Here is a 12,138-nt window from a genome sequence, read left to right as displayed (position 1 = left end):
GGCAGGGCTCCCCGGAACCTCCACACCATTTCCCGGGTTCTCAGCAGCTCTAGGAAAGCAGAGCTGGGGCCGCTTAACTCTGCCCTGGATCCGGCAAGGCTGCCCCCCTCCCAGAGTGGAGCCCTGCTCCCCAGCTCCCATCTCTATCCCCTAACCCTCTCCGCATGGCCCAGCCTAGTCACCATCAAGGTGGAGCTGAACAGAGGCAGAGGGAGGAGGACCCAAGGTGGTGTCACTCAGGACCCGGGTTCAAGTCCTTATGTTTCTGCAGCCTGGCCTGGGTCCCCCAACCCCCCCCAGGGTGACCAAGGGCTTCCCAGTCTGCACAGAGGACAGGGGGACTTGACAGCATCAAATGCTGGTGACTACAAGATGCCCCTGTAGGGAATGCAGACAGACCATGCCTCTAGCCCTTGGCACCAGGCACCATCCATCCCTGGGACTTGCTGTCCTGGAAATGCAGCATAGACCTCCAAGGAGGGGGGCTGTGCCATGTGGGGGCTCCACCCCGCCTGCAGCTCTTTCCCACCCTGGCTGCAGGTCTACTTCCCTGAATCCAAATCTGCTACTACTGTGCTGGCAGCGCAGCCTCTCTGGGGACACTGGCCTGGCTCTGTTCTCCCCAGGCCTCAGGGTGCCTAAATGGGAGGCAGCCAGGAGAGTGAGGACCCACTGAGGGCCTCTGTTGACCAGGCTCAGCAGGGGTGCAGGTGATGTGGGCTGGACTTCTTCCCACGTGGCCCCCATAGTCCTCCCCGCTCCCTCCCCAGCTGAACACTGCCTGCTCCAGATGTCTACACCTGGAGTCTGGGCCTCTCCATCTGGGCAGCAGAGAAACTGAGGCACAGAGACAGACTGTGTCCTTACAGGCCACACAGCCTGCCAGGCCCCTATGTCCGGCCAGAGCCCCTGGTCAGCCTGGGCTGCAGCGATTGTTTAGAGGTAGGCTGTTCCCACGGCTGCCTCTCACGGTAGGGGGGGCCTGCGGACGCCTCCTCCCGTCCCCACCCGACTCCCAAGCCTCAGTGACATTGCTCAACCAGGAGCTGAAGTGCATTCCTGGGCTTAGGCCAGGCCACCCACCCACCCGCTGCAGTCCTGGAAGCTCAGAGGCCACAGTGGAGACAGCAGCGTGGGGGATGTCCCCCCTCCTCTCCCCACCATCCTCGTCAGGCAGAGGCCAGGGTGCAGGGACCACCGGAGCAAAGGCCCAGGGAAATGAATGGGTGTCATTCTGGTCCTGATCCGAGGCACAGCCAGGAAGGTCCCTGTGGGGAAAAGAAAGAGATATCAGACTGTTACTGTGTCTATGTAGAAAGAAGTAGACGTAAGAGGCTCCATTTTGTTCTGTAGTAAGAAAAATTCTTTTGCCTTGAGATGCTGTTAATCTGTAACCCTATCCCCAACCCTGTGCTCACAGAAACAAGTACTGTGTCGACTCAAGGTTTAATGGATTCAGGGCTGTGCAGGATGTGCTTTGTTAAACAAATGCTTGAAGGCAGCATGCTTGTTAAAAGTCATCACCACTCCCTAATCTCAAGTAAGCAGGGGCACAAAACACTGCAGAAGGCCGCAGGGACCTCTGCCTAGGAAAGCCAGGTATTGTCCAAGGTTTCTCCCCATGTGACAGTCTGAAATATGGCCTTGTGGGAAGGAAAAGACCTGACCGTTCCCCAGCCCGACACCCGTAAAGGGTCTGTGCTGAGGAGGATTAGTATAAGAGGAAGGAAGGCCTCTTTGCAGTTGAGATAAGAGGAAGGCATCTGTCTCCTGATCGTCCCTGGGCAAAGGAATGTGTAAAACCCAATTGTATATTCCATCTACTGAGATAGGAGAAAACTGCCTTAGGGCTGGAGGTGGGACATGCTGGTGGCAATACTGCTCTTTAATGCATTGAGATGTTTATGTATATGCACATCAAAGCACAGCACCTTTTTCTTAACCTTGTTTATGACACAGAGACATTTGTTCACGTGTTTTCCTGCTGACCCTCTCCCCACTATTACCATATTGTCCTGCTACATCCCCCTCTCTGAGATGGTAGAGATAATGATCAATAAATACTAGGGAACTCAGAGACTGATGCCAGCGTGGGGCCTCTGTATGCTGAGCGCAGGTCCCCTGGGCCCACTTTTCTTTCTCTATACTTTGTCTCTGTGTCTCTTTCTTTTCTCAGTCTCTTGTCCCACCTGATGAGAAACACCCACAGATGTGGAGGGGCAGGCCGCTCCTTCAGGTCCCTGAATGTCCTTCCTCAGGAAATGATGGGGGAAGGGGCGATGAGAATGAAGGAGAGGATTTAAGTCCCTCACCCCCCGAGGTAGTCCTGGGCTGAGCCCCATGGGACCTGGAGAACCAGGGTGTACCCCACCAGTGTGTCGAGTCGAGGAAGCCTCGTGGCCAGCTCCCACTTCTGTTGCTGCTGTGCAACCCAGAGCAAGGCCTGCCCCTCCAGCTTCAGTCTTCTCCCCTGCAAATGGGGCCACGGCCTTTCCTCTCAGGCCAAAATAAGGATTGAGGCCGGGTGCAGTGTCTCACCCCTGTAATCCTAGCACTTTGGGAGACTGAGATGGGGGGACTGCTTGAAGTCAGGAGTTAAGACCAGCCTGATCAACATAGTGAGACCCCATCTCTATTGGTTTAAATTTTTTTTAAAAAAATTAAATAAATAAAATAAGGATTGAAGAGTGACTTGTACACCAGTTGAGCCCACCTCCATCTCACCCCTGCAGAGCCCCAGAGACACAGCCCTCCAGAGCTCAGACCCAGTGGGACTTGACTCCACAGGCAGAAAACCCTGTTTGTCTATGGGCCCTTTGGAATCACCAGGTCTTCGGGGATCCTGAAGGATAGCCCCGACCTGGCCTCACCTGGCCCCTGGCCCCAGTGCCCCTGGTGATATCCAGGTGCTGGGCTGTGATCACCGCCTCCCACCAGCCCACCTCCACCAGCCCTTCCCAGAACCCTGCCCCAGGTGTTGGAACTGTGCACAGAGGAGGGAGCAGGCCCTGAGGGAGGCCTGGAGGGGCTGCCGATGGTGAAGGCTGCTGTGTCTAGCTGTTTCCTTCTGGACCCACTCCCTCTGGGCTGCGTCCCCGGCTGGTCCAAGCCCTGATCCCTGGGATCTGGGGACATCTTCCCGTTTGCTGTTCCCTGAGAACCAGGCCTCCCTCTGGAGAGGATCACAAGCTTGGGTTTCACTCTGGGCTTAAACTTGGAAACCCCCCAGGGGCGTGGCTCTGACCGAGATGTTTTCCTCCAGCCTGTTGCCCAGTCCCCATTCCTCGGACCTCAGCTTCACCTCCAGTGTCATCGGCAGGGTGAGCTGGACGCCTACGGGTCTAAGAAGGCACCCGGGTTCCCAGCATCAGCTGGCCACCCTCTGCCTAAGAAAGTGCCAGGGTCGTGGTACCCCCTGGTGGCTGATCCTAGGTAGTGTCACTGCCCAGCCCCAGTAAGGGAGGGCCTGGCCCCAAAGTCCGAGGGATCAGGGTGGGAAGGGGCAGAGCTTGGTGTGAACCTTCCCCTGGCCCCCAGCCATGTGCCTGGCTCTCCCCATGCTGAAGATGCTGAGGCTAGTTCCAGTGCCCGCATTGTGAAGATCTCCGAATCCCACCTCTCTGTTCCTCCCCAGCCAGATGGCTCCATTTCACACACAATACACTGAGGCCCAGAGAGTGGGGAGACAGGCCAGGGAGGCCACCTGGAGCCTGGCACAGTGGCCTCATTTATTGTGCTGCTCTGCTGCTCACAGGGGAAGCCGGTCCCCCAGAGTCCCCTTCCTGGTCCTGGTGAGTATCTTGTCCCTGGATTGCTTGTCAGCCTTGTCCTCCTGGAGCACTCAGTAGCCGGCAGGCTCCCCGCCTTTCCTGGAGTCCGAGGCAGCTGCCCAGCCACCAGCCGTGCGGACGATGGCTTGCACCACAGCGATGAAGGTGGACGCGATCTGGGTGTGATGGTGCCGGGTCTCCAGGGCTGCAGTCACTGCCTGGGGGTGGGAGGAGAGGGGAAGCCTGAGCAGGGCTCCAGATGCCACCTGAACCACATCTGTGTGGTCACAGGCCTCAGCCCAGGTGGTGCCATTTCGGGCCAGGTCATCAGGAAGAGCAGGTTGGGGCCTGCTGGGTCTCACTGGAGCAGGGGGCTTGGCCCTCATGGCACAGGGGCTCCAGATGGCCCAGGCACTAGAGAGAGGACACCAACCATTGTCCACTCTGTGATGATCCAGGCCTCCAGCCCAGGATGCCCTGGGGCCCCACACCTTGACTCAGTTTCTCCAACCCCCGGCCCACCTGGTCAATGTTTCTCTCCACTGTCGTGACGTTGGGCAGAAGCTGGTTGTGCAGCCGGGGCTCCTCCACGGCCCGCTTCACGTCATAGCCGAACCAGAGGTTGTAGATGATGGCCTGGGGCATGGGAGTGTGATCAGCATGGCTTGGGGGCTGTGCAGGGTGGGCACGGCCAGGGAGAAAAGGTGTGACACATACCAGTGCAGTGGCCGTGGTGATCTGTGTGCCCCCAGCAGCTCCCACCACCATCCGGACCTGGCCGTCCTGGCCCACCATGATCGTCGGGCACATGGACGAGAGCGGCTGCTTCCCTGCGGCCGATGGGAGAAGACAGGGATGCCCGTCAGCTGCCTGCCCAGGACACCCGCCCCTCTCCACCCCAGTCCCCCACCCCCGGACCTCCACCCCATACCTGGCTGGATGAAATTGGCAGGTGAGGGGGGTACCCCAAACTCGTTGGTGATGCTGGGAGAGCTGAAGTCGTCCATTTCATTATTGAACAGGATCCCGCTGACCGGGGAGCGGACCTTGGAGCCAAAGCTACCGCCCAGCCAGGTCAGACAGTGCCCGACCTTGCCTGGCCCAGCCTGGTCCCTATCCACCCACTGAGGCTCAAACATACTCACTGAGAGGCCCAGGATAAGCTACCAAGGTTGGGCCTCAGTTTCCCACCAGGAAAAGAGGTGACGGAGCCACCTTACTGGATAAGTGGGCAGTCCCTGGGCCACCCGCCCCTGGCCCTTTCCCACCCAGGCGGCCCAGCAGCCCCTACTAGAGGTTGATGGTGCTGGTGGCGGACACAGCACTGCCGTCCTCTGCGACGACAGACAGGTGAGCAGTGCCCCCGTCATCCGGCGTGTAGAACTCGGGCTTGTAGTAGGAGATCGGGTGAGTGGTGTCGTCAGAGATCTGGGCCCGGAGCTGGGCAGCGAAGAACTCGGAGGTCATGTTGCGGACCACCTGCCGAGACCCCAGAGCTGGCCTGAGGAGGTGGGGAGGGAGGGTGGGGAGGGGGCACAGGTCTCAGAAGGCCCTTGACTGTGACTCTGACCGCAACCCTCTGGCACCCACAACCTTCCGTGGCTCCCCAGGACCCAAGGGCAGGCCCAGGACCTTGCATGACCAGTCTGACTCCCTGTCTCTGTCGCGTTCCAGCAACTCTGAATGTCTGTCTGCCTGGTCCTCAGCCTCCAGACCCTTGCTGCATTCAATCACTCATTCCTTCATGCAAAAAATATTTCTAGAGTTTGCACTGCATGCCTGGCACTGGGGAATCAACAGGGAACAGACACTTAGGTCCTGCTCTCATGCCAAGAAAAACAAACACACACAGGGAAAGTGCTGAAACCACAAGCCAGGTAAGGGGAATCAAGAGGCATGAGGTATGGGCAGAGTGGTCAGGGAGGGCTTCTCAGAGGAGGCAACGTGTGAAAAGAGCCTGGAATGTGGCCTAAATGGTCAGTGCAAAGGCCCTGAGGCAGGTGGTATAGGCTGGTGAGTGATAGGCAGAGAGTGAATGGAGTGGGGTGGGGAGAAGAGGATGAAGATGCAGGCTGGGGCCCATCCCACAGGACTTCCTAGGTCCCATAACAACTGGCTTTTGCTCTGTGCCATGCAGGCTTAGGGCAGAGGAATGAGCAGGCTGGGGAGTGTTTTCACAGGATCCCTCTGGCAGCTATGATGGGGATAAGGATAAAGCCCAAAGGGGAGGCTGTGGGTATCAACCAGGCAAGAGATGATGGCCTGGGTGGGAGAAAGAGAAGAATCAAGGATGGCGCCGACTAGCGAGGTAAACCCTGCAGAAGGGGCAGGTTTGGGGATGGTCAGGAGCTTGATTTTGGATACTTCATCAGACCTGAAGAGCATGGGTGCACGTATTAAAAAAAATAAATAAATAAGCATGGGTTCACGGGCAAGGGCGGGCTGAGAGATGAACATGGAGGTATTGACATTGAGTGGCTGCTGGATGCCATGAGCCTGGCCAAGGTCCCCAAGGCAGTGGCGAGGAGATGAGGAGGTCAAGGAGGAGACAGAGGATGGACCCGAAGGCCGAAGAAAATGCCTCAAGGGAGTTTCAACACCGGGCGCGGTGGCTCACGCCTGTAATCCCAGCACTTTGGGAGGCCGAGGCCTGTAATCCCAGCACTTTGGGAGGGCGGATCACGACGTCAGGAGATCGAGACCATCCTGGCTAACACAGTGAAACCCCGTCTCTACTAAAAATACAAAAAATTAGCTGGGCGCGGTGGTGGGCACATGTAGTCCCAGCTACTTGGGGGGCTGAGGCAGGAGAATGGCGTGAACCTGGGAGGCGGAGCTTGCAGTGAGCGGAGATCCCGCCACTGCACTCCAGCCTGGGGGACAGCCTGGGGGACAGAGCGAGACTCCGTCTCAAAAATAAAATAAAATAAAATAAAGTTTCAGCAACACCCCACGGATTAGTTGACCAATCCCAGGGAAAGGTGTTCTGTCTGAATCTGCCCTCAAGGAAACAGAAAGGCAAATCCACGATGTGGGACATTTTCCAAGACTACTGCCCTGGGCTTTAAAAATCAACAAAACAGGCCAGGCACGGTGGCTCATGCCTGTAATCCCAGCACTTTGGGAGGCCGAGGCAGGCGGATCACGAGGTCAGGAGATCGCGATCACGGTGAAACCCCCTCTCTACTAAAAATACAAAAAATTAGCTGGGCGGTGTGGCGGGCGCCTGTAATCCCAGCTACTCGGGAGGCTGAGGCAGGAGAATGGCGTGAACCCAGGAGGCGGAGCTTACAGTGAGCCGAGATAGCGCCACTGCACTCCAGCCTGGGCAACAGAGCGAGACTCTGTCTCAAAAAAAAAAACACACCTGTAATCCCAGCGCTTTGGGAGGCTGAGGTGGGAAGATAGTTTGATCCCGGGAGTTTGAGACCAGTCTGGGCAAGACCCTGTCTCTAAAAAAAATACAAAAATTATCCAGGTTTGGTGGCACGTGCCTCTGGTCCCAGCTGTTCAGGGGGCTGAAGTGGGAGGATTGCTTGAGCCCTGGAGGTTGAGGCTGCAGTGAGCCAAGATCACACCACTGCACTCCAACCTGGATGACAGAGACTCTGTGTACAAACAAAAACACAACAAAAACAAAACAGCCAAGGGAGCCTACTGTAGGTAAAGAGAAGGGACAACAGGTTGTGTCACCCCGACATCCTGCTGTGCTATGTTCAAGTCTCACTTTTGAGACACACCCTGAGGTGCGACATCAGTAACCTACTGTGGAATCCCTCAGAAAAACACGAATCCCAATAGATGTGGGTGGAGACGGAGAGAGTTAGGAAATCCGACAGAAACATCCACACTGCAGACTCCAGGAAAAGGGAGCATTGATGCTTGGGCAGTTTTGGGGTTTTTTTACATTTTTGTAGGTGCGAAAATTTGCAAAATGAAAACTCGAGGAGAGTGTGGTGAGCTGTGTGAGATGCTGCTGAGTGGGGCCTGATGGGGAAACTGAGGCTGGACATGGCGATCTGGTGGCATGGGGATAGAGCAGGGGAGGGGATACCCTGAAGGGAGAGAGGACATAGCCCAGCCATGTTTGCTCTAAGAGGAGCAAAGGACAGAAGGAGGCAGCAGATAGAAGTTTCTAGAGCAACAACAGCTGCCTTTCTTTCGGGAATAAGCCGTGATAAAGAAGTAAATCATCAGAGGCAGAAAGGAGCATTGTAGGAACAGCACCCCGAGCCAGCGAGTAGATGAAGGAGCTGGCCTTAGCCAAAAAGGAGGGCAGAGGGACACACTGCAGTGGCTCTGTCCCCTCAGAGAGACAAGACACCAGGTCACTGGCTGCAGCGGGAGTCAGAGGTGCAGAATGCTCACGGGGAAAGAGAAGACACCACCTGGGCAGCTGACGCCCCTCCTGGGAGGTCACTGGTCAGTGTGGGGGGGTCTGCAGATCCGCCCAGGAATGCCAAGGACCCAAGTAGGTAAGGAGGGATGTGAGGATCCTCAGCGGGAAGGGATATGACAGGGTCTTATAGGGACCCAGTGTGGAGCTGGGGCAACTACTGAGTGAGTGGGTCAGGTGGTGCAGGGCTGAGGGTGGCATCTGGGAAGCGTTAGTTTGGAGTGACAGGGAGTGGGTGGCCAAGGTCTCTGTTCACCTGGCCCTCTCCCTTTCACCCATCCATCTCACCATGCCCGAGGGCTGCAATGCCCCCATGCATTCCTCATCTCAGCACTGAGCACTCGAGAACCACAGCATGTGCAAAGGACCTGAGGTAGGAGGGTGGCCACTAATTCCCCACACTGTCAGTTCTGTGCGGCAGAAGCCAAGACTGGGGGTCACCCACGAGTCCATCCGAGCACACAGTAGGCCCGCAATCGAAGTCTGTGGCAGGAATGGATTCATAAAGCATATGTGAGGCTGTAGCCACCCTGGGGAGCCCACCTGATGCCTCTATGGCAGGCCCCACACCCACAGTGGGCCAGCCCCTGCCCCTTACCTCAGTCACATCCACAAACTTGGGGTCCCCAAGCAGGGTCCTCTTGGCGTAGGCAAACCGGAAAGCCTCTACGATGCGGTGGTACGTCAGGCCCTTCTGCTCGGGGCTCTCCACGCTCTCCCGGGAGAAGTTGTACCCTGGTTGATCAGAGCCAGGTGCATGTTGCTGAGCCCCAGAGGCTCTGAGGGGCTCAGAGGGTTAACACCTGCCTGAGCCACTTTGCCCACCTCAAGGAGCGTTTAATAACCAATAGCAGCAGCTGCTTCAGAAGGCTGTGGTGAGAGTGAAGTAAGGTGAGGGCTCCCGAGCCTGGACCTCACGTCACGCATCAGCTCTGGCCATTCAATGACCAAGTGGCAGGGTCACCCACTGGACCGGGGTACCCTCTGGACCGGCCCTGCAGCCCTGAGCTCCTGCACCTCTCTCCCTCCTGATGACTCCTGTTCCTCCTCCAACCCTTGAGCATTGCCCGCTTCAGCCCTGTCGCTCTGCACTGCCTCCTTCAGGACATGGTGAACTGTGACGCAGGGACACACCTCGGGAGCTCAGTGATGGAAAGACGTGGCATGGGGGGCGAGCAGAGATGCAGGAGGGGTGGGGCGTGGGGAGAGAGAGGCAGTGTCATGGGTCCTACCACACGGCTGTGGTGCGACCACTCACCTTTGAGGATGTTGAGGATGAGGGCCAGCACGGGCCCGCTGAGCGGCGCACTGGGCATGTACAGCACCACGTCTCCCAGGCTGATGTTCAGCGGGTGCTCGATCAGCTCAGCACGGTAGTTGTTCAGGTCCTCAGCTGTCACAATGCCCCCTGCAATGGGACAGCAGCTCAAATGGGTGCTGGGATGGGGCTGCACCACTGCGTGGAGGATGGAGCTGCAGCAGTGGTGTTGGGGGCAGGCATGGCTGCACCATGGTGGTGGGGAAAAGCCTGTACCTACCAGGGAGGACAGAGTGCACTACTGGAGGGGTGGGACTGTGCCCTGGGAGGGGGCCACAGGCAACCTCACCTCCTTGGGAACCTCATCAGCTCCGGCACTCCTGTCTCCCTGACACTGCTCACCACCCAACAGCCGGGCTGGGGCCACCTGCCCTTTGCCTGCTTGGCTTACTGGCTTCCTGTCTGCCTTCTCTCATCTGTGGCCACAGAGTGTTTTCTTTTCTTTTTTTTTTTTAGAGATAGGATCTTGCTCTGTCACCCAGGCTGGAGTGCAGTGGCTTAATCACAGCCTTGAACTCCTGGGCTCAAGTGATCCTCCAGCAGACCCTCCCCAGTAGCTGAGACTAAAGGCACAACTACACCCAGCAAATTTTAATTTTTTTGTTGTGTTTTGCTACTTTTTTTTTGTTTTTTGAGACGGAGTCTCGCTCTATCGCCCAGGCTGGAGTGCAGTGGCGCGATATCGGCTCACTGCAAGCTCCACCTCCCAGGTTCACGCCATTCTCCTGCCTCAGCCTCCCAAGTAGCTGGGACTGCAGGCGCCCGCCACCACACGTGGCTAATTTTTTTGTATTTTTAGTAGAGACAGGTTTCACTGTGTTAGCCAGGATGGTCTCGATCTCCTGACCCCGTGATCCACACGCCTCGGCCTCTCAAAGTGCTGGGATTACAGGCGTGAGCCACCATGCCCGGCCGGGTTTTGCTATATTTCTTTTCACTATGCTTTGAATTTTTTGTTTTCTTGTTCCCCACCCCCACCCCCACTATATTTATGTAGTTTCTCAATATTTTTTTTGTAGACTCACTATGTTGCCCAGGCTTGTCTTGGACCTCCTGGCCTCAACTTCTACCTCAGCCTCCCAAAGTGTTGGGATTACAGGCATGAGACACCAAGCTTGGCCTCAGAGGGCCTTTTCTTTCTTTCTTTTTTTTTTTTTGAGATGGAATCTCACTCTGTGGAGTGCAGTGGTGCAATCTCGGCTCACTGCAACCTCAGCCCCCCAGGTTCTAGCGATTCTCCTGGCACAGCCTCCCAAGTAGCTGGGATTACAGGCACAACCTACCATGCCTGACTAATTTTGCATTTTTAGTAGAGACAGGGTTTCGCCATGTTGGCCAGGCTGGTCTTGAACTCCTGACCTCAGGTGATCCACCCGCCTCGGCCTCCCAAAGTGCTGGGATTACAGACGTGAGCCACCGCGCCTGGCTCAGAGGGCCTTTTCTAACTGGAGAATTCCTGCCAGTCTCCCTGCCGCTTGGCCTCTTCTCCTCATGATGAATGAATAGAGGAGGGAGGCTCTTAATTCTCCTGGAGTCAGCTCCAGACAGACAGGGTATTGGCATGCCAATTTCCAGCCTCAGTGGTAAAGGTCGACACGCTAATCACCCTCCTCCATGAAACGTGACAAAAATTACCTGAAGAAAGCCACAGCCAAGCTCCAGGCCCCTGCCCCACAAATCCCCTTCCCCATGCCTCTCTCAAGGAGACCCTCATCCCTTGTAACCCTCTTGGTGAATCAAAGCGCCCTCTACTGGGCCTTAGCCCAGCTGTTCCTCTGCTAGGAATCCCTTCCTCTCTCTGCCTAACAAAGTTATCTGCAGCCCAGCCGCCACCTCCTCCAAGAAGTCCTCCTGGATCTTCAGGCTGTATTCTAGTGCTTCCCTAGCCCTGGCTCTTGCCTACACCTGCATTTACCCCAACAGGGACTTGCTCTCCTGGACTGTGTGGCCTCTCTTGGTTTTGATATAAGCAGGAGCTGTGGACCCACATGGCCAGTCACTGACCCTCCTCCACCAGGAACTTCCTGCAGGCTCAGGCAAGACAGGAGGACCCCATAGCTCTGGGCTACAGCTCAGGGTTTCCACTGCAGAGTTCCTCACCCAGGCCCCTGAGGTTACCCACTCACCGGCCGCCTGGATGTCCTTCACAATCTGGGCCGTGAGGCTGCCGTTGTAGAAGGCCTGGGCACCCTCGATGGCCAGCGTCTCGTAGGTGTCAGCCAGCTGCGGCAGGGTCAGTCTCTCCCCCTCCCGAAGCACCTTTCTATCCCGGCAGAACACCTCACTGGGGCAGAGGGGGCTCATGTGAGGCAGCAGGTGGGGTGGACTCAGCTAGACCACCCCTCACACCCGTCCACACAGGAGAACGGAGCAGAACAGGGGCAGCGCCTGTCACAGGTGGGTGGCCCTGTCACTCAGCGCTCGTCTTCCTAGTGTCCCTTCCGGGAGCTTCCTAGTGTCCCTTGCCACTCAGGACACATGGCCAGCCACAGTGGCCACTGGGACCCCACGCTCAGAATGTGTCCCCACACGTGGTGGGAAGGGTCTGTATCTCCTCATCCCATTATCAGCACAGGGTCCTGAAGGCAGAGGGCTGCTCCACTGCTGCTACGGCCTGCAAGGTCCTTGGGCTGTGCCTGCCCTGCCTGTGTCAG

General features: G+C 57.0%; 1 protein-coding gene across 3 annotated transcripts in view, besides 5 other annotated features; it reads right to left on the bottom strand.

The window, feature by feature from the left end:
* Positions 636-1,185: an enhancer, noted in NCBI's record as "H3K27ac-H3K4me1 hESC enhancer chr22:25027463-25028012 (GRCh37/hg19 assembly coordinates)". NCBI's record gives its function as "activates a minimal SCP1, AML or CMV promoter by ChIP-STARR-seq in naive H9 embryonic stem cells {active_cell/tissue: H9 hESC(naive)}" and the evidence as "EXISTENCE:reporter gene assay evidence [ECO:0000049][PMID:30033119]".
* Positions 1,186-1,733: an enhancer, noted in NCBI's record as "NANOG-H3K27ac-H3K4me1 hESC enhancer chr22:25026915-25027462 (GRCh37/hg19 assembly coordinates)". NCBI's record gives its function as "activates a minimal SCP1, AML or CMV promoter by ChIP-STARR-seq in naive H9 embryonic stem cells {active_cell/tissue: H9 hESC(naive)}" and the evidence as "EXISTENCE:reporter gene assay evidence [ECO:0000049][PMID:30033119]".
* Positions 1,734-2,283: an enhancer, noted in NCBI's record as "NANOG-H3K27ac-H3K4me1 hESC enhancer chr22:25026365-25026914 (GRCh37/hg19 assembly coordinates)". NCBI's record gives its function as "activates a minimal SCP1, AML or CMV promoter by ChIP-STARR-seq in naive and primed H9 embryonic stem cells {active_cell/tissue: H9 hESC(naive and primed)}" and the evidence as "EXISTENCE:reporter gene assay evidence [ECO:0000049][PMID:30033119]".
* Positions 2,284-2,832: an enhancer, noted in NCBI's record as "H3K27ac-H3K4me1 hESC enhancer chr22:25025816-25026364 (GRCh37/hg19 assembly coordinates)". NCBI's record gives its function as "activates a minimal SCP1, AML or CMV promoter by ChIP-STARR-seq in primed H9 embryonic stem cells {active_cell/tissue: H9 hESC(primed)}" and the evidence as "EXISTENCE:reporter gene assay evidence [ECO:0000049][PMID:30033119]".
* The window catches only part of GGT1 (gamma-glutamyltransferase 1), a 45,247-nt gene continuing 36,793 nt past the window's right edge, over positions 3,685-12,138 (bottom strand). For all 3 annotated transcript variants that reach the window (NM_013430.3, NM_001288833.2, NM_013421.3), the window contains 8 exons: positions 11,611-11,768; positions 9,425-9,574; positions 8,765-8,901; positions 5,062-5,249; positions 4,702-4,829; positions 4,488-4,600; positions 4,293-4,406; positions 3,685-3,988 (listed from right to left, as the gene is read on the bottom strand). In NM_013430.3, coding sequence (NP_038347.2) covers positions 3,842-3,988; positions 4,293-4,406; positions 4,488-4,600; positions 4,702-4,829; positions 5,062-5,249; positions 8,765-8,901; positions 9,425-9,574; positions 11,611-11,768 — 1,135 coding nt within the window. In that variant the 3' untranslated portion in view covers positions 3,685-3,841. The remainder of the gene's footprint in view (positions 3,989-4,292; positions 4,407-4,487; positions 4,601-4,701; positions 4,830-5,061; positions 5,250-8,764; positions 8,902-9,424; positions 9,575-11,610; positions 11,769-12,138) is intronic.
* Positions 11,385-11,885: an enhancer, noted in NCBI's record as "H3K4me1 hESC enhancer chr22:25016763-25017263 (GRCh37/hg19 assembly coordinates)". NCBI's record gives its function as "activates a minimal SCP1, AML or CMV promoter by ChIP-STARR-seq in primed H9 embryonic stem cells {active_cell/tissue: H9 hESC(primed)}" and the evidence as "EXISTENCE:reporter gene assay evidence [ECO:0000049][PMID:30033119]".

Source organism: Homo sapiens, chromosome 22 (assembly GCF_000001405.40).
Source record: "Homo sapiens chromosome 22, GRCh38.p14 Primary Assembly".
Lineage (NCBI taxonomy): Eukaryota > Metazoa > Chordata > Mammalia > Primates > Hominidae > Homo > Homo sapiens.
The sequence above is the reverse complement of the archived record's forward strand: the minus strand, read 5'-3'. Positions and strand labels throughout refer to the sequence as shown.